Raw genomic sequence first — 23,108 nt, 5'->3', positions numbered from 1 at the left:
GCATAATGGTGTGTGCCTGTGGTCTTAGCTACTTGGGAAATGGTGGTGGGAGGATTGCTTGAGCCTAGGAGGTTTGTGCCACCGCACTCCAACCTGGACAGCAAAGGAAGACCGTATCCCAGAAAAAAAAAATTAAAAAAGACAAAAACCAATTGAGAGGGAGGGCACACAATTGGGAGTGCCCATAGCTCTGTTCTTGCTCAAGGTATCATGTGCACTAGCTCCTCCATGGGGCATGGGACTCCAAGCATTTATAGTATACCTCTTATTAATGATAAGGACTTTTTCCAAATGTAAACAAACCTGGCAATAATGTCTTGTTATTTCATACTATTAAAAGGTAGGCTACAGTGATATTCTCTATTAAAACACTTTATCAAAAATAAAAAGAGATAAAAGAGATACTAAGAAATGGGCATGGTGAATGCACATGAAAACAAGTGCTTATTACATGAAACGAGTGGCTATAATTTCCAAAGACATAATTCAAACTGGATCCAGCATTGTTATTCCCCAATGCCTTATCTGACAAAGTTTAGAACTGAGTAACCGATATGAAGCCATTATAAAGGAAATGCAAATATCTGAAACTCATCTATTTATTAAAATCAATCTCCATTATCTTTCTTCTTAAAAAGCTTAGAAATAAATATAGTCTCTGAATATTGACAGTATTTGTGGCTCAAACAAAGCTGAGATGAAGGCTGGACTCAAAACAGTGCAAGAAATAGAAAGGAGAAAATATTTTAAGGTTAACTACTTAGGCCATGCAGGTAAATGTGACCCCAGAGGGAACAGAATTCCACAAAGCTTAACTTTTCAATGACAACATGAGAATGTTCAGCAGAAGCTGATAGACCAACCATTCTGTCAGTTTGATGCTTTCAAAATGGTAGATGAGGGAAATTGCACAGAGTTGAGCAGAGTTTTACAACTTGCATATCAGCAGTTGATTACATTTTTTCTTGATATTTTCCACTTTTCTGCGACATAGTAGCTTGTTTGTATGTTATTTACATTAAATGTTATCTGCCTATCTTTCCCATGTGAGCTTCAAGTAATAGGGTAAGCTTTATAGAACTGTGCAATATTTCCTTTTGAAAGAAAAATAATAAAAATTTAGTTGTGTCTGTACCACCTGGAGGTCAGCTCTCTTTGTGGACATCAAAAAGCTCAGCTTATTATTTTATTTCACAATATTTGAATATTTCTTTTTAAATGAAAGATTCTTTCTGTGCATTTCCTAGCATCCCAAATTGTTTGATTCAGAAAAGTTTCTTATCATTGCAAATCTCTTCAGTCAGTCAAAATTTCCTGAACTAGAAAGTTCAGGAACTAAACGGAACTGAGAGGCTGGTGATGATTCCAGCACAGAGGAATAGCTAAAAGTCGTATTATTTATTGTTCATGTAGTGGGTTAACACACATTGGCCTTTCGTTCGTGGGATTCATAAAGTTTCACATGGTTTTGAGATGATTCAAGGGTGAAGACTTTAAACAACATCCCTTCCAACTCTCAGACTATGATTCAACACATTGTTTCTCATAATTGCTTGCTGTTAAGAGTCAGCTAAGGATGCCTGTTGAAAATAGACTCCACGCCCCCTTCCCTTCGAAGGCTGATTCTGCAGGTATGGTGGGACTCTGGGGCTCCTTATCATTGGGAAGGTTTAAGAAACATTTTATTTCTTGACTCTTAATGTTGGATGGATATTGGAATCACTTGGGGAGCTTTACAAAAGTAGCACTGGGGCCGGGCACGGTGACTCATGTCTGTAATCCCAGCACTTTGGGAAGCCTAGACAGGCAGATCATGAGGTCAGGAGATTGAGACCATCCTGGCTAACACGGTGAAACCCCGTCTCTACTAAAAATACAAAAAATTAGCCGGGCGTGGTGGCGGGCACCTGTAGTCCCAGCTACTCGGGAGGCTGAGGCAGGAGAATTGCTTGAACTCAGGAGGTGGAGCTTGCAGTGAGCCGAGATTTCGCCAGTGCACTCCAGCCTGGGCGATAGAGTGAGACTCCATCTCACACACACACACACACACACACACACACACAAAGTAGTACTGGGCCTGGGTCCCACGGAAGAGATTCTGGCTTAGTTTATGGTGTGGCCCGGGCATTTGGATTTTTTGAAGCTTCCGGGTGCTTCTAATTTGCAGCCAAAGTTTAGAACCGCTGACTTGATTGAAACAATAGCCAGTTATCTGTAACATATGTGAAAGCAATATCTAACATTTCCATTAAGACATACAAAGTGCTTTTACAGATGTGTGTCTTATTTGAATCCTTGACAACCTGGTGAAGTAGGTTAGAGTTGGTTATTATCTTTCCTTTACAGGTAAGCGAACTAGACTTCAGAGAGGTGAAGTAGTTTGATGGAGGACCACTCGCAGCAGAATTCTGGAACTGCTGAGGTGTACCTTAGGCATGCTACTACCTCACTCTCTATGTGCCCTGGCTCCTACTAGCTCTCCGGCTTTCCCAGCCTCCCTTTAAAAGAAAAGAAAAGAGGCCAGGCATGGTGGCTTACACTTGTAATCCTAGCACTTTGGAGGCTGAGGTGGGAGGATCACTTGAGCCTAGGAGTTCAAGACTAGCTGGGGCAACATAGTGAGACATCATCTCTACCAAAAAAAAAAAAATTAAAAAAAAATTGGCTGGGCATGGTGGTGCACACCTGTAGTCCCAGCTACTTGGGAAGCTGAGGTGGGAGGATCACTTGAGCCCAGGAAGTTGAGGCTGCAGTGAGCCATGATTATGCCACTGAACTCTAGCCTAGGCAATAGAACAAGACCCTGTCCAAAAAGAAAAGAAAAGCTCTCTTGTTTCTAGAGCTTCTCTTACGTTGGAATTGTTATTGATAATAATACAACAGCAGTAGGAGCTAACATTGGGCCCTTTGTATACATTGTGCTAAGAGCTCTACATGCATTATCTTAATTGTCTTGAAGACTCTGTGAGGTAGGTCATATATGTTATATCCCCATTTTATAGCGTAGGAAACTGAGTCTTAGAGAGTAACTGGCTTGCTAAGGGTCATATTCCTATGCAAACATTCTTCTTATTTTATCTAAGCCTTTTCTTATTTTCCGTTCAGTCAACCAAATTTCAGCAAGTGGCAGAGAGGAAAAGAATCAGGTAAAGTATTTCTGAGCTGGGCACGGTGGCTCACGCCTGTAATCCCAGCACTTTGGGAGGCTGGGTGGATCACCTGAGGTCAGGAGTTCGAGACCAGCCTGGCCTACATGGTGAAACCCCGTCTTTACTAAAAATACAAAAAATTAGCTGGGCGTGGTGGTGGGCACCTGCAATCCCAGCTACTCAGGAGGCTGAGGCAGGAGAATTGCTTGAATCTGGGAGGCGGAGGCTGCAGTGAGCTGAGATTGTGCCATTGCACTCTAGCCTGGGCAACGAGAGCAAAGCTCTGTCTCAAAAAAAAAAAAAAGAATTGCTGAATACGCGATGATTGACAATGACAACTTCCTTGAATTGTATTACCACTTCTAATATGGGGACTGGATTTTTAAAGAAACTTCTGGAGCCAGTCACGCAAAAGCATGAGGATCTAGTGCTTGAAGGATTCAGTTGGAGAATCATGGGTTGTTAATTCCTAACTAACCCTGCCTTTCCAGAGACAGCAGTAGTTCCCTGAATTAAGGCCTAGATCTGGCATCAGAAGGCTTGGGCACAGGTCTCAGATGGCTTTTTTTAGCTGTGGGGTCTTGAGCCAGTCCTATCCAGGACAAAGTTTTATGTTCTGAGTGAATCAGGCCAAGTTGGAACATTAATCAATGCTCTTATGTCTACTTTTCTAAGGTTTGCAAAACGCTGAGCATATTTTTTTGTGGTCTCAGTATTCAGAGCTCAAAGTACATCAGGTGAAGAACCTGGAATCTACAAGTTCAAGAGGCATGGGGAGCACCTTGGTGAGGTCCACAAACTCTTTGCAGAAGTTCAGCACAATTTTATGGTGCTAAAAAGAGAGTGAAAGATGTAAAAGAACAGAATTTCTTTATCCATCCAATATATTTATTTTCCTTCCTCCCTCCCTCCCTCCGTCCCTCCTTCCCTCCCTCCTTCCCTCCCTCCTTCCCTCCCTCCTTTTTCTTTCTTGGCAGGGTCTTGTTTTATCACCTAGGCTGGAATGCAGTGGAACCTGCTTAGCTCACTGTAGCCTTGAACTGCTGGGCTCAAGCAGTCCTCCTGTTTTGGCCTCTGAAGCAACTGGGACTACAGGTGTGTGCCGTCATGTCTGCCTTATCAATCCAATTTCTAAGACTGTCATTTTGTGTGGGAATTCTAGTTCCTCTTTGCAAACTGGAGGTTATATAAAAATCAAGGAGAAATTATTCTATTATATATACTACAAAGAGAATAATGACTACTAAAGCTTAAATTTATAATGCATTATGTAATACATAAATCTCAATTTATTCAGCAAATAGTGAGCACGTGGTCTGTACTAGACACTGGGAATATAATGGCCAAGGCCCCTACTTTCATGAAGCATGCTTTCTAGATGGCCATAGATAAAGGACAAGTGCAAAAACAGATTAGTAAAACAATAGCTGTGCTCAATTTTTCAAAAGAAGCCAACAGGGGGTCGAGATGGAGGTTGTTAGGAGAGGTGATGGAGCAGGCAGGCAGAGGTGACATTTAAGCTCAAAGGATATGAAGAGGCCAGCTGCTCTGAGTGTGGGAAGAGAAACATAACTGGCAAAGAGGTTCATAAATGAAAAGTCCCTGAGGTGGGAGAAAAAAGGTTGATGTAGCTGAGAAACTGGAAAAAGTCAAGTATGACTGGGTGTGGACAACATGACAAGAGGCCACAAGGCTCTTGAGAGGCCGGGTTGTATAGCCCTCATGGGCAATGGTGAAGAGTGTGAATTCTATTTGAGACCCAATAAGAAACCATTGAAGAATTTTAAGCAGAGAAACAGCATGATCTGATTCCAGTCTTCATGTAATTCTTGTGGTGTTTAGAGAAAGGACTGGAAGATACTGAAGACAATAATGACCTTTTTCTTCCCAAGCAATACTTGTTAGAAAAAGCAGAAGTTATAATCTGCTCATATTTTTAAAGCAGTCTTCTATGAACCTAATCCTTCATATTTTTGTATGGGTAAGAGTTGTTCTACATTCCCAGCTGGGACAGAGATATAGATATATAGACCATTGAGCTTTAACCTGCCCAACCATGACAGGAATGCATTTCACAAGACCTTTTTTTTTTTTTTTTTTTTCGGTCAAAATAAAAGATAACAGAGTCCTTTCAAATCACGTCATTGAAACGCATACCTTCAGGTCTCCCTTTCATCAGAGAAAGGTGTTGAAAGTTACATCCAGCCCTATGTAACCTCCTTAAGCCTCAGGTTGAGCCCTAGGGGCTCTTTGCTTGCTGGTTTTGTACAGGTAACAATAAACAAAACGACACCTAGGATAAATGATTGTCGTACAAGTGTTACTTTCATTATGATAGAGCTCTTAGCATCCCCAATATACATAAAAGTTAAGACATTCAGATTTCCTCCGGACCAGCTCAGAAATGAGTCCTCCACCCTCAGTCTTCCATTTCCACCATCCAGACAGGGGCAGGAAAACAGTAACATTCCTTCTAACACGGAGTTAGATGTGTACAGATGGTAGTGGACAACTGACACATTTTACAGCTCTAAAAGTCCAACTCTCTTTTCCCTGTGACAGTTTCTTTTCAGGTTCCAGTTCAATGCAAAGCATATTTCCATGGTTGAGTTATGAACTCCAAAAACGGGGGCTTGTAATGGAAATGCAGACAGACGCTTCGCCTTAGCTGTGCTTCTGGGCACCGCTAGAGTCATCAGTTTTAATGAGAGCTGTTAATATCACCTCCATCAGAATGGTTGCCCTGGGCTGACTTTCTGGGCTGTGCACAGGTGCTCTTGGCCAAGAATGTAATGTAGGTTATTACATTATCAATGAGGCACAGATGTGCTTTCTGACTGAACTCAAGGTGGTGTTCTGGCCAAGTGCATCACTCTTTCAGTGGGCCCAGGTCTGTTTGTATCAAAATGCTGTTCTAGCTCAGTGAACCTCAGAACTGCCTTCTGCTTCCCCAGGACACGAGTTCAGAAAACCTGCTTAAGAATGCAAGGATGGGCTCTCCACAGGCAGGCACAGGCTTTCTCAAGAACATGAAACTTGTCCTGCCACCTTCTGCTTCTTCGGGGAAGGCTTCAGTTACTGCATATTCATTCACTGACTCATCAGGTTTTTCTTGGGCACCTGTCCTGTGCCAGGTACCCTGGAGGAGTTAAGGGTGATCCTGCCAAGGAGTCTGCCTGCCGTCTCTCTGCAATGCTGTCTGCTGTTTCTGTCCTCTTCCAACTTCTTCAGAATCATCTCTCAAAACTTGCATCTCCATTGCCTCCCCCAGAGGTTCCAGTGCTAACATTATGGTGTTTTTTCTAGTGCTGAATGTTTGCCTGAATTTACAACCCCAGCAGCTCCGTTCCTCTAAGCTTGAAACCCCCATTAATTGGGCTTTTACTTTCTTTCTTTCTTTTCTTTTGAGACAGAGTCTTACTCTTGTCACCCAGGCTGGAGCGCACTTGGCTCACTGCAACCTCCCCCTCCCGGGTTCAAGCGATTCTCCTGTCTCAGCCTCTCAAGTAGTTGGGATTGCAGGTGCCTGCCACCATGCCTGGCTGATTTTTGTATTTTTACTAGAGATGGGGTTTCCCATGTTGGCCAGGCTGGTCTCAAACTCCTGACCTCAGGTGATCTGCCTGCCTCGGCCTCCCAAAGTGCTGGGATTACAGGTGTGAACCATCTTGCCCGGCCTTCATTGAACTTTTTCTTATTCAACTTGCTCCCTGGGATCTATCTGAGTCTGACTTGAAGCCAGATTTTTTGTAAAGCTAGTAGCTGCAGGTCCTGCAGTTAGCCTAGTGGCCTGGCTTGACACTGTCAAGCCAACAGGGAGCTTGGGTGCTGAGAACTGGCTTGGAAATGCCACATTGGATGCAACACCACACCTGTCTGTGTCCTCAATGAGAGGTCCCAGAAGTTTGTTAGGGAGCGCATGATGACTCAGGAGGAAAAATGGGTTCTCCTCTGCATGAGGGAGACATTTAGAATTGATCTTGACTTTGAGAGTGATATTGCCGTGCTGTTCAGGAAAACTGATATCTTATACAGGAACTAAATAGTGGGAAAGGAGACCACCGCACTCTACAGCACAGCCTCCCTACTGTCAGTTCAGTTTTAAGCACAGAGGTGAAAAGACATGAATAAGACACTGGGAAATGCGTGCAAGCCCGTGCGTGTGTGTGTGTGTGTGTATGTGTGCAGTTTGTGTGTGGGCCTGGAGAAGAGTGCAGTGTTTTCATGAGCATCTGAGTGCACGAAGCTGGGGGAAAACATGAAAAAGGCACGGTCAAGATGGAGTGTGATTCAATTCTTCCATCCTTTTGCTTGTTGCATGCCCCTCAACTGTTAACCAAAGATGACAGAAAGATCCCGAAGACAAATGGATGTCCTTTTCCATTTCCTTTCTGCCTACCCAAGCCCATCCCCCACCATGCCTAATTTCAGATCACTTCCTCCTTTCTCTTATTCCCATGCCTTTTCTACTCCTTGTTTGACTGATGGTTTGGCAGGGGCAGCATGAAGGGGCTGATGGCACTAACCCCGTTGTCTGTCCCCCATACCCTGCAGGGACGTGGCTGTTGTGGCAGAATGCAGGACTGTCATTCCTGCAGCCCACCTCAGAGCCCCAAAGATATGGGCTGGTGGCAGCAGTCCCCTGGTGGCGCTGGGACTGTTCTACATGGCTGGCCTCGTTATGAAGTGAATCTCTTGACAGGCAATTTGTGTCCGCCACCTGTATCTAGAAATCCTTTGCTAAGGCTGAGAGATGCTTCCAATCTCTCCTCCCAGGTGTAGCTTTCATGACGTGTTCCACTTCCACTTACCATATAAATTGCCCTGTTTGCATTTCCATTCAGTCCTTGAAATATTCTGATCACCTCTCCTTTCTCATAGGGAGAGAGGCACATGTTTTATAAGTAGGAGAAAGGCAAGGACATGGAGACCCAGCAGATGATAGAAAGTAAGAGTCAAAGCGACACAATTCCGACTCAGGAAGCTTGGGTGGTACAGCCACTCCCTCCAATGAGGAGAGGCTGTTTGGATACAATGCAGAGGTGTGAGGGTTGACTATTCTATCTAGGGATTTGCTATGGACTTTCTTTTGTCAAACACCAGGTGGAAATCTTCATGGTGATTAACTCAATAGTAGAAAATTTGGACAATATATTAGTATTTAAAAAGCCCTTATGCCGGGCGCAGTGGCTCACGCCTGTAATCCCAGCACTTTGGGAGGCTGAGGCTGGCAGATCACCTGAGGTCAGGAGTTCGAGACCAGCCTGGCCAACATAGTGAAACCCCGTCTCTACTAAAAATACAAAAATTAGCCGGGTGTGGTGGCACGCGCTGGTAGTCCCAGCTACTCGGGAGGCTGAGGCAGGAGAATCGCTCGAACCCAGGAGGCAGAAGAGGTTGCAGTGAGCCAAGATTGCACCACTGCACTCCAGCCTGGGCCACAGAGCAAGACCCTCTCTCAAAAAAAAAAAAAAAAAAAAAAAGCCCTTATAGGAGATTTACCAAACATTATGCAGATTCTAAACAAGACACATGAGAAACTGATTAATGTTATTATATTTATATATCACATGCATAAACTCTATCATAAGATTTTTTGGGGGGAGCAACTATAAGATTATTTACGTGATAATTTAAGCAATATTTTAAAATAATCTTTTTTTTTTTTTTTTTAAAGACAGGGTCTTGCTTTGTTGTCCAGGTTGGAGTGTAGTGGCATGATCATAGCTTATTGCAGTCTCAAACTTCCGGGCTTAAGTGATCCTCCTGCCTCGGCCTCCCAAGAGCTGGGACTACAGGCTGTTCTACCATACCTGGCTAACTTTTTGATTTTTTTGTAGAGACGCATTCTTGCTATATTGCCTAGGCTGATATCAAACTCCTGGGCTCAGATGATCCTCCCACCTTGGCCTCCAAAGCACTGAGATTACAGGCATGAGTCATGGCACCCAGCTTTAAAAATAATCTTGATTTAAAATAGAAACACTTTCCAACAAATATTTCATAATATAAAAATTAAGCTTCTTCAAATTTCATGAAAAGTGAGAAAAACATTATGAAAATGGTATCCTCTGACCTCTGTTCTTTTAGTATTTTCAAAAGATTATATATTTCAAATATATATGCATATTATATTCAAACTTGCATGAAAGAAAAATGTTGGTTTTTAAATATGCCATTTTGTTCTGAAATAAAAACTGGGTAAGAATCATTTAAAAAGCCAAACTTGGCCAGGTGCAGTGGTACATGCCTTATAGTCCTAGCTACTCAGGAGGCTGAGGCAGGAGAATCACTTAAGTCTACGAGTTCGAAGCTGCAGTGAGCTGTGTTTCCACCACTGCACTCTAGCCTGAGTGACAGAATGAGATCCTGTCTCTTAAAAAGTAAATAAATAAATAGATAAAAAGTCAAGCTTTACAGTGCTTCCAAATGGTGTTAAAATGACAAAAATCACCTTAGTTTTAAAAAGAGGTTATGATCCCAACAGAAGTACTCCCTTCTTAGTATAAGGGGTACCATCTGCGGGATCCAAAAGTCTTCTCTATGAAAGCAGAGTCAGTTCCCAGCCATATGTTTCCCAGGCATTTCTTCTCCATTGACCTTATATTTCATTTATGCAATGAATGAAAGCGTATTAAGTTAGGCGTGTGCTGGGTTCTGGAGGTACAATCATGAGCAGGACAGACCTAGCCCTGCCTTCCCGGGGCACCCAGCGACAGGCAGCGACACAAGCACAGCCATAAACCAGGGCCAGGATGGGTGAAGGACCGAATGCTCTTCGTGGCGCCTTCAACAGGAGTGGCTCACCTACTTTTGTATATTGGTGAGGATGGTAGGGGAGTGGGGGCATTTTGCCCTTGCTTTGAAAAAATTCAAGAGTGCTATCTGGACTTCCTCTCTCTTCAGCCGTGCAGTTCAGTAGAACAAACTGGGAACAGTTTGGGAATTGTTTACACCATGGGCATTGGCAACCCTGTCCCTTCATAGAATTTTGGCTTAGTTCTAGACACACTGAATGCCTTGAGTGTGAGGATTAACTCTGATGGTTCTGTTTTAACTTTCCGAATCTTTAGGTATTGGCCTGGAGTGATTCCAAGCTCTCCTGGAACAGGAGGTGCCCCCACTCTGGGCATAAATATCTCTCCCTCATCCCTCGCAGACAACGATCTTTGAGTACCATCCAGTCATAATATAGACATGGCCAAGGTAACGGAGGTAAACAGAAAACAGGAAAAATACTAGGCTGTTTGCACTGGAACATGGTAACCATGAAATGAGCAAACATTTAATTTTGTTCATTGAGGTCAACGTGAAAGCTGCTGAATCTCTTATAACAACTTTCAGGACACTTGGTGCATGCCATTTTGAAACACCTCAAGCTGAGCCTGTTGTTCTGAAATGTCAGAATGTTCCATTCTGGTAAACATTCAACTTGTATTGAGTTTTCCCTTTGTGCAGAACCCTGTGAAGTGCAGCTAAAATGTATAAGGGGAATGAAAGAGGATAAAATGAAAACTGTGGAAGCCGTGAGTCAGTAGGCAGTGAAAACTATCCGAGAAGGCTTTCTGCTTTTGGTTGATTACAGACTGAATCTATGACCCAGGGAAAGAAGCCCACCCATTCTTTGTACGTGTGCCTTATTTCTGTGGTTCCCTTTTCAATATAAGGGGCTGCTGAGACAGTAATTTTTACATGTGGAGTAAGGTAATCTCAGAACATTCCTGTGTGAGTTTGAGGCAGCTTTGAATCCTGGTTCCACTGCTATTACCTCTGCAGCTTTGGGCAGGTTACTTAATCTCTGTGATCCTGAGTTTCACATCTGTAAATTGGGGGTAATAAAAGTATCTATTTAGGGGTTTATTGTAAGGACTACAAAGGAATTATGAATCTAAATTGCTTAGTGCAGCCTGGTCCAAAAATGTTCAATGAATGTTAAGCTATTATTATGGAAAATTAAGTCGACTCTGGAAAAATCAATGATTTAGGATTCTTTAGTTTGCTAGTTTTGAAAATGGCTCAATCTAGCACAAGCAAGACGGTATGAGCATTCTAACACATAATAAATGGAAAGCTGAGTATGGTGGTATGCCTATAATTCCTCGGGAGCCTAAGGTAGGAGGATCTCTTGAGCCCAGGAGTTCAAGGCCAGCTTGGGCAACATAGTGAGATCCCCATCTCTTAAAAAAAAAAGGGAAAGCCAAGTACTCATCTATTCATTTACTCATCAAACAACATGGAACATTTTTATGTGCTTGCCAGTGGGCAAAGCACTGGGAGTGCAGGTATAAAAGTAACAATTCCCATCTTCCAGGATCTTAAAGACTAGTGGAACAGATCCAAAAGTAAAGTGACGGCCAGGTGTGGTGGCTCAGCCTGTAATCCCAGCACTTTGGGAGGCCAAGGTGGGCGGATCACAGGGTCAAGAGATCGAGACCATCGTGGGCAACATGTTGAAACCCCGTCTTTACTAAAAATACAAAAATTAGCTGGGCGTGGTGGCACGTGCCTGTAGTCTCAGCTACTGAGGAGGCTGAGGCAGGAGAATTGCTTGAACCCAGGAGGCGGAGTTTGCAGTGAGCTGAGGTCGCACCACTGCACTCTAGCCTGGCGACAGAGTGAGACTCCGTCTCAAAAAAAAAAAAAAAAAAAAAGTAAACTGACAATGACAATATAGCATGTGTACTTAATAAATGCAGTTTGGCAGACTTATGCTTTGAAAACCCAGAGCTTGTGGGAGAAGCATACTGAAAGGATTACATGCTCACTAAAGTCTAATATTCAAATTCCAAAGGAATTGGCGACGGAAGTCAGGAACACATGAGAGACTACTTGAGGTCTGGCCTCGGGAACTCTCTTCTTCCCAGGCAGATGTCAACTTTTGTCTCTAAGATGAATGCCAGCCTTGGATAGGAATTTTAAAATTCCTTAAAAAAGCTCTAGGCCAACCCTATGTGACTCAGGTTCAAGCCACATTTGCCACCAGGGAAGCCCTAACCATGTGCCAGAGATCTGATGCCTGCCCTTCTACCTGGGATTCCTCAATCCATAAGGTTTAAGATCGGAACTGGACTCTTCCTTATATGTGGGTAAAGACTAGTCCTGGCCCTGAACTCCATGCTTCTGGATAGAATCCTGCTACCTCTCAGAGACTTCACCAATGACTTCTTTTGCCCTTAAGCTTGTATTTTTTGTTAACAGCCGTATTGATATTTAATTCACATAGTATACGATTCACTCATTTAAAGTGTAAAATTTAATGGCTTTAATATATTCCAGAGATGTGCACCTATTATCACAGTTAACCTCAGAATATTATGCAAAAAAAGCCTCCACACCCCATACCTGTCACCCCCAAAGCTCTCATCAACCCAGATCTAATCTACTTTTCATTTCTATAGATTTGCCTATTTATTTATTTATTTTGTAAGTTTTAAAAGTCATGTTTATTGAAATCTGAATTTACATTCAGTAAAATTCACCCTCTTAAGTATAAGATTTGACAAATGCATAGTCATACCATAATCAAGATGCAGAACAATTATAGAATCACTCTAACCATTCCCTTCTGCCTCTTTGCAGTCAACTCCTTTTGGATCCCAAGGAACTCACTGACCTGCTTTTCTATCAAAAGGGTCAAATTTTGTCACTAAAATAATCTATGGTACTATGGAAAAATTTGCAAGCATACAAAACACACAAACCAATTTTTAACATGAGACACTTTGAAAAGTTTCTTTAGCATACCAACAAAATGAAGGTAGCTTAACATTGTACTACAGATGTGCATTCATCAAAGTCTACCATTTAAGGATATTTAAGAATATACTATATTTAAGAATACACATATTTAAGAAGATACTGTAAAATAACAATCTTTAGAAGAGTCAAAAGAATGTGATTTTAAAACAACTTTATAAATTAAAGCACTTTATAAAGTTGTCTTAGATAGTTGTAAAATAGTCAGTCTAGTTAGAATTAATGTGTTCTAAAACTGATCTACTTGAAAAACTAAGATGAGTTATATCTTTGTTGAGTATGTGAACCATGATTAAGGTCTTGCTATTTGGTGTTAACACTGTCAAGTTACAGACCATGGCTGGTTCATAGAAAAACTACTTTAAATAATGGAATTGAATTCCGCAGAAATTTTCTATGGGACCAACTCAGCTATAGGGCAGAGGCACAAAATTGTCAAGTAAATATTCCTATAGATAATTGAGGCCATGACAAAATTCACCCTTATTACCACTACGAAAGGGACAAAAGAAGCAAAAATGTCCATTCTGTAGATACTAAAGATTACATGTTTAAATACATCTTATCTACTTGAAAAGCTTTGGCCAAGCATGGTGTCTCAGGCTTGTAATCCCAGCACTTTGGGAGGCCGAGGCGGGTAGATTGCTTGAGTCCAGGAGTTCGAGATTAGCCTGGGCAGCATGGTGAAACCCCCTCTCTACAAAAATGCAAAAATTAGCTGGGCATGGTGGCACACACCTGTAGTCCCAGCTACTCAGGAGGCTGAGGTGGGAGAATCACCTGAGCCTAGGATATGGAGATTGTAGTGAGCAGAGATGGCACCACGCCACTGCACTCCAGCCTGGGCAATGGGGAAAGACCCTGTCTCAAAAGAAAAAAACAAATAAAAAAAAAGCCTCAGTGATTCTTTCAAGCCTCAGACCTTGAGCTCATCAGCATCTCAAAACTCAACCAAGTCCAGTCATGTGCCACAACTGAAAAGGAGATTTGCCTGTGTATAAGAGGATGTTATAGACTGACTTGTATTTCCCCCAAATTCATATTTTGAAGGCTGAAACCTCCATATGACTATATTTGGAGATAGGGTCTTTAAGGAGGTAATTAAGGCTAAACGAGCTTCTGAAGGGTTGGGAGCCCTAATCCAATAGGATTGGTGTCCATTACAAAGAGGAAGAGACCCGAGGAATGTGTGCATACAGAGAAAAGGCCATGTGAGGACACAGGGAGTAGAAGCTGTCTGCAAGCCAAGGAGAGAGGCCTCAGGAGAAACCAAGGCTACCAACACCTTGGTCTTGGACTTCCAGCTTTCAGAACAGTGAGAAAAGAAACCTCTGTTGCTAAAGCCACCCAGACTGTGGTATTTTGTTATGGCGGCCCTAGCACACTAACAGTGGACTCATGCAATATGTGGCCCTTTGTGTCTGGCGTCTTTCACTTAGCACATTTTTTTCAAAGTTTAATCCATGTTGTAACATGGATTAGTACTTCATTCCTTTTTATTGATAAATAATATTCCATTGTATAAATACATCTCATTTGGTTTATCCATTCATCATTTAATGGACATTTGGGTTATTTCCACATTTTGGTTATTATGAATAATGTTACTATGAACATTCATGCACAAGTTTTTGTACGGACATATGTTTTCATTTGTCTTGAGTATATATCTAGAAGTAGAATTTCTAGATCACATGAAAACTCTGGGTATAACTTTGAAGAACTGCCATACTCTTTCCTGAAATGGCTGCACCATTTTACATTCTCACCAGCAATGAATGAGGTTGCAATTTCTCCACACTCCTGCTAACACTCATCACTATCTTTTTAAAAAATTCTTATTATTAGAGCCATCCTATCGAGTGTGGCATGGCAAATCACTGTGGTTTTGATTTTTGCTTCCCCAATAACTAGTGATGTTAAGCATCTTTTCATGTGCTTATTGGTCATTCATATGTTCTTCTTTGGAGAGCTATCTATTCAGATCTTTGGCTTATTTTTTAATGGGCATTTTGTTTTGTTTTGTTTTTAATGATAGAGTCTTGCTATATTGCCCAAGCTGGAGTATGGTGGTTATTCACAGGTGTGACCATAATGCACTACATTCCAATCCTTCTGCCTCAGCCTCCCAAGCAGCTGGGACTACAGGTGCATGTCATTGTGCCTGGTGGCAATTAATTTTTACCTTGTCTTATTATTGAGTTGTTATCACTCTTTGTATATTCTAGCTCCAGTTTCTTTATCAGATATATGACTTGCAAAAACTTTGTTGCATCTAATGCGTTATATTCTATTTTCTTTCTTTCTTTTTTTTTTGAGACAGAGTTTCATGCTTGTAGCCCAGGCTGGAGTACAGTGTTATGATCTCAGCTCACTGCAACCTCCACTTCCCAGGTTCAAGCGATTCTTGTGCCTCAGCCTCCCAAGTAGCTGGGATTACAGGTGCACGCCACCAATGCCCAGTTAATTTTTGTATTTTTAGTAGAGATGGAGTTCCACCATGTTGTCCAGGCTGATCTTGAACTCCTGACCTCAGGTGATCCGCCCACCTTGACCTGCCGAAGTGCTAGGATTACAGGCATAAACCACCGTGCCTGGCCTATATTTTATTTCTTTTTATTTATTTATTAAATGTATTTATTTATTTATTTTTGAGACAGAGTCTCGCTCTGTCACCAGGCTGGAGTGCAGTGGTGCGATCTCAGTTCCCTGCATCCTCTGCCTTCCAGATTCAAGTGATTCTCCTGCCTCAGCCTCCCCAGTAGCTGGGACTACAGGCACGTGCCACCATGCCCAGCTAATTTTTTGTATTTTTAGTAAAGATGGGGTTTCACCATGTTGGCCAGGATGGTCTCAAACTCCTGATCTTGTGATCCACCCTCCTTGGCCTCCCAAAGTGCTGGGATTACAGGCATCAGCCACCGCACCCGGCCAATGGGTCTTTTAAAGTACAAAGGTTTTAGTTTTGATGAAGTGAAATCACATTCTTTCATTTCTTCTGCTTTTCGTGTCATCTCTAAGAAATCATTGCCAAATCTAAGGTAAGATCTACTCATGTATCTTCTTTTAATAGTTCTATAGTTTTCTTATATTTAGGTCTTTAATTTTGAGTTAAGTTTTTGTATATAGTGTAAGGTAGGGGTCCAGCTTTATTCTTTTGCATTCAGTTACCTAGCATTATTTGTTGAAAAGACTACTCATTTCCCAGTTGAATTGTTTTGGCCCTCTACATGAAAATCAAATGACCATAAACATGAGGGTTTATTTATGGACTCTCAATTTGATTCCACTGATCTATATATCTGTTGTTATGCCAGCACCACATTGTAGCGTTGTAGTAAGTTTTGAAATAAGAAAATGAAAGTCCTCTAGCTTTGCTCTTCTTTTTTAGGACTGTTTTGGCTATTCTAGGTCCCATGAAGCTTGCAAGGCTTTTGAAGGACCAGCTATCTTTGGTGCCTGGTTCCAGAGTCTATCTGCAGGCTGAGCATCTGAGGGTGGCTTGCACGTGTGCCGAGGCTGCCCCACGGGCTAGTCCCCCTGTGCCACTGAATTATTCAGTCTGCCTGAATGGACTTTTTCTAGGTCCTAGAGCTGGATCTTGTGAATCCAAATTCCTGATGGGTACCTTGTGAGGGAGGAGATGAAATTCTAAGTCCAGCTCTCATAGTGTTCCAAATAGGGTTGATGTGTTAGGTCTGATGGCTTACTCTGAAATCCTAAGAGTTATTAATAATTAGCTTTGGGCTGGGCATGGTGGCTCATGGCTGTAATCCCAGCACTTTGGGCGGCCGAGGCGGATGGATCACGTGAGGTCAGCAGTTTGAGACCAGCCTGGCCAACATGGCGAAACCCTGCCTCTACTAAAAATACAAAAAATAGCCAGGCGTGGTGGCAAGCGCCTATAATCCCAGCTACTTGGGAGGCTGAGGCAGGACAATCGCTTGAACCTGGAAGGTGGTGGTTGCAGTGAGCTGAGATCATGCCACTGCACTCCAGCCTGGGCGACAAAGCGAGACTCTGTCTCAAAAAAAAAAAAGAAAAAAAACCACAAAACAACAACAACAATAAAAAACAAATAATTAGCTTTGATGGTGTCAGTATAGCCATGATGTAGCTGTTGTTTTTGAATTATTAAAGTAATATAATCACATCCTAAAAAAATGGCAAACAGGGAAGAAAATTCACCGTAATCAGAATTCGCTTGTTATAGGTTATAATGTTATTTTCGATTATCTAATGCATTACTGTACATATACTCTTTTTCCTCTGTAGAAAGAAGTTTTTGCATTATTTTTGGAATTTAATTTGAACTGAGAATTCCACTAGGGATTTGTGGGTATCTATCATTTCCCTTGTGGTTTTCGAGAGGCCACATACGTTTTTGGAGACATAATCAAGCAAAGTCATACGTCAAGACTAGAAAGAGTTTACTTCATATGGGTGCATTCATAGGAATGCATTTCCGGGATTTAAGTTAGGCTAAGACTTAACGTGTAGCTTTTCTCTCTATTGCACTTTTTCCTCTGTAAGAAAATATGTGCATTTCCTCATCATTCTCAGTAAACTATCGCAAGGACAAAAAACCAAACACCGCATGTTCTCACTCATAGGTGGGAATTGAACAATGAGAACACATGGACACAGGAAGGGGAACATCACACTCTGGGGACTGTTGTGGGGTGGGGGGAGGGGGGAGGGATAGCATTAGGAGATATACCTAATGTAAATGATGAGTTAATGGGTGCAGCACACTAGTATGGCACATGTATACATATGTAACTAACCTGCACATTGTGCACATGTACCCTAAAACTTAAAGTATAATAATAATTTAAAAAAAAAAGAAAATATGTGCATTTCCAAATGCCTCATCTCATTGTAATGATTCTTCATACTAGCTGCAGATGTTTTGGCCACATCAGTTTGGCTTCTTACCCGTCTGAATAGAACTTGCCACTCCATTTATTGAAACCTGGGTTCTTGGAGTCATTATGCTCCAATTTTCTTCAGGTTGACCAGCAAGGGGCACTAAAGTATAGCATCTATTTTCTCCTAGCCACAGCAGAGGTTTCGGTAAGCAAGTAATTGAGCAAGAATCTAGAAACTGTGCACTCTTATAGTCAGATCAAAAAGCTGTTGGTGGTATATTTGATATTTTTCAGGGGTATTGATACTTTTTAAATGAAAAAAATTCTGATTGGACAAAAAGGGAGCAAAACAATTCCAAATACAGAATCACTCTTTGTTTGTAAGCCATAATTCTCCTGTCTAGTCAATACTATTAGGTAAACTGGCAGAATCCTGTCATTGCTTTTCTGTGAATTACTGCATTTTTTCTTTTCTATCCGGAGAACATAATGGGCTAGCCACATAACGAGTTCCTAAAAGGATGAACTACTTGATGTTACACTGACAAGCAATTATTATAGGGGCCTATTGGTTGGTCTTTTTTTCTTCCCTTTAAATTTTGCTTGCCTATTTATTTCCATCAGCTACTAAGGATGACTCTTTTATTGTCTCAAATAAAGGATGCAATCTATATGCTAGGCACACATTATGAATAATTCCTTGTCATAACAAGGCACAAATGTCCTTCAGAGACCGGCACAAAGTTACTGAAGCTGTTCAGGATTTGGTAATGAGCTTTTCTTTCTTTTTAAAATTTTAGCTTTTATCCATGCTTAATCATACCAAGTTACTGAAACACTAGGGATAGGGATGATAGAATTTAACAATTCGTCCACCCAGCTAGAAGCAAATACCCATGATGGTTTCTAATTCTAAATCAAATAAATAGTTTTTGGAAGCTCTGCCCACCTATCAATACTATAGAAATAATGCATGTCAAAGTAATTAATTCAACAGGAATGTTCAATTACAGCCACTGTATCATTTTTTCAGTAATGTTTCATTCTTTTTTTTTAAATACAGTTTTTTTTTTTTTTTTTAAGACTAAGGCTTTTTTAGGCCTGGTTATTTGCAGCCTGTGAGAATTGTGTATTCAAATGGATCACATACTTCTTCACTCATCACAGCACTCTTCTCTCAAATATAATCCTAAACCTCAAATGGCTGATTACTTAAGAACCCTTAAGAAGTCTTAGCTGAATGATGGATCTCTGAGAGTACGATTTCTAATATTTTTCTCTCTGTTAGCCAGAATTAGAAACTGGAGGTTGCAGAGCAAAGATTTTTAGGAGCCGAGGCAGATATCCAGGGTGAGATGAAAAAGACAGAACAAGAGGAAGGAAAAGATGAATGCTTCCGTGTTTTCTAAACAACCCTGAAGACAGTCTGTCTTGGTTTCTTGAGATGATTCTGATATGCCCAGGTGTTGTGCCCCTCCCCCTATCTGCACCTTTCTTGTCTCTGATGCCAGAGGGATGAGGGCAGAGACTGTAAGTGACTGGCAATGCTAAGAGCACAGGCCCTGGAGTTCATCTGCAGGGTTCACATTCAGGCTGTGTGGCTTTGGGCAAGTATTTAACCCTCAGTTAATTCTGCTGTAAAGTGAAGATTCATTCACTCACTTAACAAATATTTATCAAACACCTGCCTTATGCCAGGCACCATTCTAAGCACATATGTTTTCTTCGAGGATCAGATGAGAGAATGAATGTAAAGCACTTAGGACTGTGACCATAAATAATGACCATTACTGTCTATTGAGAATCCGCGGTGCACAGGCCCTAGGCTATATATTTTAGGCAATTACTTAACCCCTGTTTGTCTGTTTTCCTCATTTGCAAAGACAGTGTCTTGTCTCACATGGCTCTTGTGAGGTTGAAACAGGGTAATGTACATAAAGTGCTTAGAACAGTGCCTGGCATGTAATAGAGTTTGCCATCATTACCTCTGTTTCTCAGACATGACCTGGAGAGGTAAATGTTATTATCACTGCTTTAAGATGAGTTAACTGAGGCGTAGGGAGGTAAGGTAAATCGGTCAAGGTCAAATGGCTGGTAAGTTGCAGATTCGTACCCCTATCTGTCTAGACCGAAAGCTTATGCTTTTCTCAGTGTACCTTGGTACCCTGGCTCCTAGAAGCATTGAACACCTGGCTTGATCACACAGACTGTTTACACATGAGCCTTTTTGTAGCTCTGAAATGCCACTTCCCAATTCCTCCAAGTCTCCCCTATCAGCCCACGTGCGCATGTGTGTGTGATGCATGCACACACACACACACACACACGTGCACATGCACTCACATCTACAGTCTCTGCAGGAGTATTCATTCTGATAAGCAGCTTCTCCCCTCAGGGAAATTATGCTGTCATTCATTCGTTTAGCAAAATTGTCATCCACTGCTCTAGGACCTGTATATTCTTTGTTAGACAATAAGTAAAAAATGTAAATTTATTTTTTTAATCTGTGAGCCTTCTCAGGGAGAAAGCCATTTTGCTGGCGTGCTTCTTTAGTCACTCATTCATTCATTCATTCATTCATTCATCAGTTATTCATCAAACATTCACTGTGAGCCAGGTTCTATACTATGTAAACTGTTAAATTTCTAGGAACCACACACTATGTTTTCTCAGTATGTAAAATATTGAATCCTAATTGGAGATTTTGTATAAATTAGTTTTAAAAGGACAGAATACAAAAAAAATACAATGTTTGCTTGTTTGCATTTAACATCCACAGTGGTCCTCACTGATTGTCAGAAGAAGGTAGTTCTACCAACACTTCACAGTTTAAATAAGGAGCAGATTTTCTCACAGTGTCCTTTGTATATCTTCCCCTTGGGAAACACAGCTACAAATCATATGGAGATGCTTTAGCACCAAATGAAGCTCCTTCTGAGGCTTGTGGGGGGAAGTGACTGCTTTCATAAACTGTTCTTTTTGACTTGATGAAGTTGAAAATGTTGCAAATGTTCCAAAGAACAACATTACACCAAGCTGATGGGAAATTTGTGGAAAATTAAGTACCACAGTCAAATATGGTAATTGCTTCTTTATAAAGATACAAGAAAAATGTTCCACCTACCCCCTGACAAATGTACCTGTATCAGGTAGAGGGTAGATTTTGAGGACTTGTACCCTTATGGCAGAATTCTGCACGTTATGCCGCAAAGAGTTAGAATTATTGAGGATGTGTTTGCTGTTTGTTGTTCACTGAACACCCATTCTTTCTTCTTTTAATAACATATCAAATTTCCCCTGGGGAAAGCTTTGTACCGGCTCTTGGATTAAAATAAACAAACAGGAAAATGCCCTTACTGCCTTCTCTCCTAGTCCTTCAGGACCCTAGGCTGCACTATCACCAATTACCACCCTCACCAAGCTTCTTTCTTAGGAGATCTTGTTGGGAATGCTCTAGAAACCAGTACTGCTTAAGAGATAAAGCTTTCACTCAGCTCCATTCTTTGGCAGTTTGGAGGATTGTAAAAGAAATGTTAAATATTTCGGACTTGTATGAATTGTTAGCATTCAGGGGTGACTGTGAGGTTTCCAAGAACTTGAAATAAGGGCTTAGCATTGAGAATTAAATGGCAAAATCAATACATAATGCAGTACATCATAAATATATGCCAATGTCTAAAAAAGAGATACTCATTAAACATATTTACCAATTACCATGCTCAGAACAGATGGTATACTCTCAGCCTTTAATCCTTTAATTGCTGGAATTTGAGGAGGTCTAGGGTTTCCCAGGGAGGGGCCAGAGTGGCCAGGGTGGCAGCGCTTTATCAACTACAGTAGCATGAAAGTATTTCCATAACTTAACATTCGGTTTTAGTTTCTATGAAATAAATGAGTCCCCACTTGCATGGGAACTTTCCAAAGAAATATTTACTTTCATAATTAATTTTTACTCATAAAGGTTTATTGTTTCTTTAAGAGGCCCCACAAACTTGTATAAGGTTTAGGCCCCAGTAAAACCAGATTTTAGGCCCCGGATATGACCACAACTGCATTCCAGCTGAGTATCAACCCAGCCAATAAAGGGGGATGGCAACTGTTAAAGGCGTCTCCATAAGGGGTTCAGGATGGGCCAACTCCGGCTGTGGCCTGAAGGTGCTCACTGTCCACTAGAGGAGGTGCTCTTGTCCCCAGCTTTGACTTCTGCCATCACAGCGTCAGGTCTCCCCATTTTAGGAGATGGAGGTACCAGGCTATCTTAGCTTGGTGTCATTATAATTTCTCAGGATCTTTCATCGAACCTTAATTTCTTCTATTTCATGCTTACCAAGAAGCCTTCTTATTGTAATTTAGCTGCATTGTGGCTGCCTATGGTGTGCTGAACCTTGAACTTAAGGATCTCATTTCTTGGGCAGTTCTATTTCTCAGGGCAAATTAATAAATTCGCATTCTAGTTTACTATTAGTTATTCTAATTACTTGGCCAATGGGAATTCACTTCTGAGAGACAATCTTCACCTATGCCAAGGTTTCTAAGTCTGTGAAGCTAGTCCATGGACCATGGCAAATTGACTAAAATAAACATTGTGTCCTCAGGGATAGACAGTCCATTCCATCGCCCTTGGCCTTCTTCCCTTATTTTCAGCAGCACTTTATTGGAACTGTTTATTTGTCTCCCCACTAGATTGTAAACTCCTTGAGAGCAGGGCCATCTGCATTCCAAACACTTAGTACAAGTACATAGCATAGGTTAAGGACTCAATAAATATTTGATGAATCAGTAAATGGAAACAAAAAGTGTGTGATATTCTTTGGATACCAGTAAACTCGTAGCGACGCAAACTTTTAGTTAAATTTACAAATCATTTTGTTTTTGAACACATTTACTTTTTCATTGCAAAAGTATTCATAATATTTTGGAGGCTGAAGATCTTTCAGCTGTTTGTTTACAAGCATGTCAGATAAATTATGAACCTGACTGTGGTTGATACAAAGTAATCCCTTCCTTAAAATATTTTCTTTTTACTATAGAATAGTCTCTCTATTATTTTATGTCTATCTGATCTGCAAATATTTAGGAGGATTGAAACTCCTTTTGTACTTGGCACCAAAAGCTAGTGATGAGAAATGAGTTGAATCAAGAATAAATGAGTCCTGGGATGAATCCCTTTATGGAAAAATGTGTGAAATAACACAAATGAATGGTATTGATGCTGTCACTAATCATTTTCAACACCCAGAAAGGTCTACTGTTTGTTTTAAAGCACACACACATAAACATTACCCCACTACCTTAAAATTTTCGGGCTGAAGTTGAGAGAAAGAAACAATTC

General features: G+C 41.2%; 1 protein-coding gene across 2 annotated transcripts in view, besides 3 other annotated features; it reads right to left on the bottom strand.

Annotated features, from left to right (window-relative positions):
* The window catches only part of SASH1 (SAM and SH3 domain containing 1), a 358,577-nt gene that overhangs the window by 282,616 nt on the left and 52,853 nt on the right, over positions 1-23,108 (bottom strand). The window lies entirely within an intron of this gene.
* Positions 4,329-4,882: an enhancer, noted in NCBI's record as "OCT4-NANOG hESC enhancer chr6:148585683-148586236 (GRCh37/hg19 assembly coordinates)". NCBI's record gives its function as "activates a minimal SCP1, AML or CMV promoter by ChIP-STARR-seq in naive H9 embryonic stem cells {active_cell/tissue: H9 hESC(naive)}" and the evidence as "EXISTENCE:reporter gene assay evidence [ECO:0000049][PMID:30033119]".
* Positions 16,187-16,686: an enhancer, noted in NCBI's record as "H3K4me1 hESC enhancer chr6:148573879-148574378 (GRCh37/hg19 assembly coordinates)". NCBI's record gives its function as "activates a minimal SCP1, AML or CMV promoter by ChIP-STARR-seq in primed H9 embryonic stem cells {active_cell/tissue: H9 hESC(primed)}" and the evidence as "EXISTENCE:reporter gene assay evidence [ECO:0000049][PMID:30033119]".
* Positions 16,687-17,188: an enhancer, noted in NCBI's record as "H3K4me1 hESC enhancer chr6:148573377-148573878 (GRCh37/hg19 assembly coordinates)". NCBI's record gives its function as "activates a minimal SCP1, AML or CMV promoter by ChIP-STARR-seq in primed H9 embryonic stem cells {active_cell/tissue: H9 hESC(primed)}" and the evidence as "EXISTENCE:reporter gene assay evidence [ECO:0000049][PMID:30033119]".

The sequence above is a fragment of the Homo sapiens genome, chromosome 6, assembly GCF_000001405.40.
Source record: "Homo sapiens chromosome 6, GRCh38.p14 Primary Assembly".
Lineage (NCBI taxonomy): Eukaryota > Metazoa > Chordata > Mammalia > Primates > Hominidae > Homo > Homo sapiens.
The sequence above is the reverse complement of the archived record's forward strand: the minus strand, read 5'-3'. Positions and strand labels throughout refer to the sequence as shown.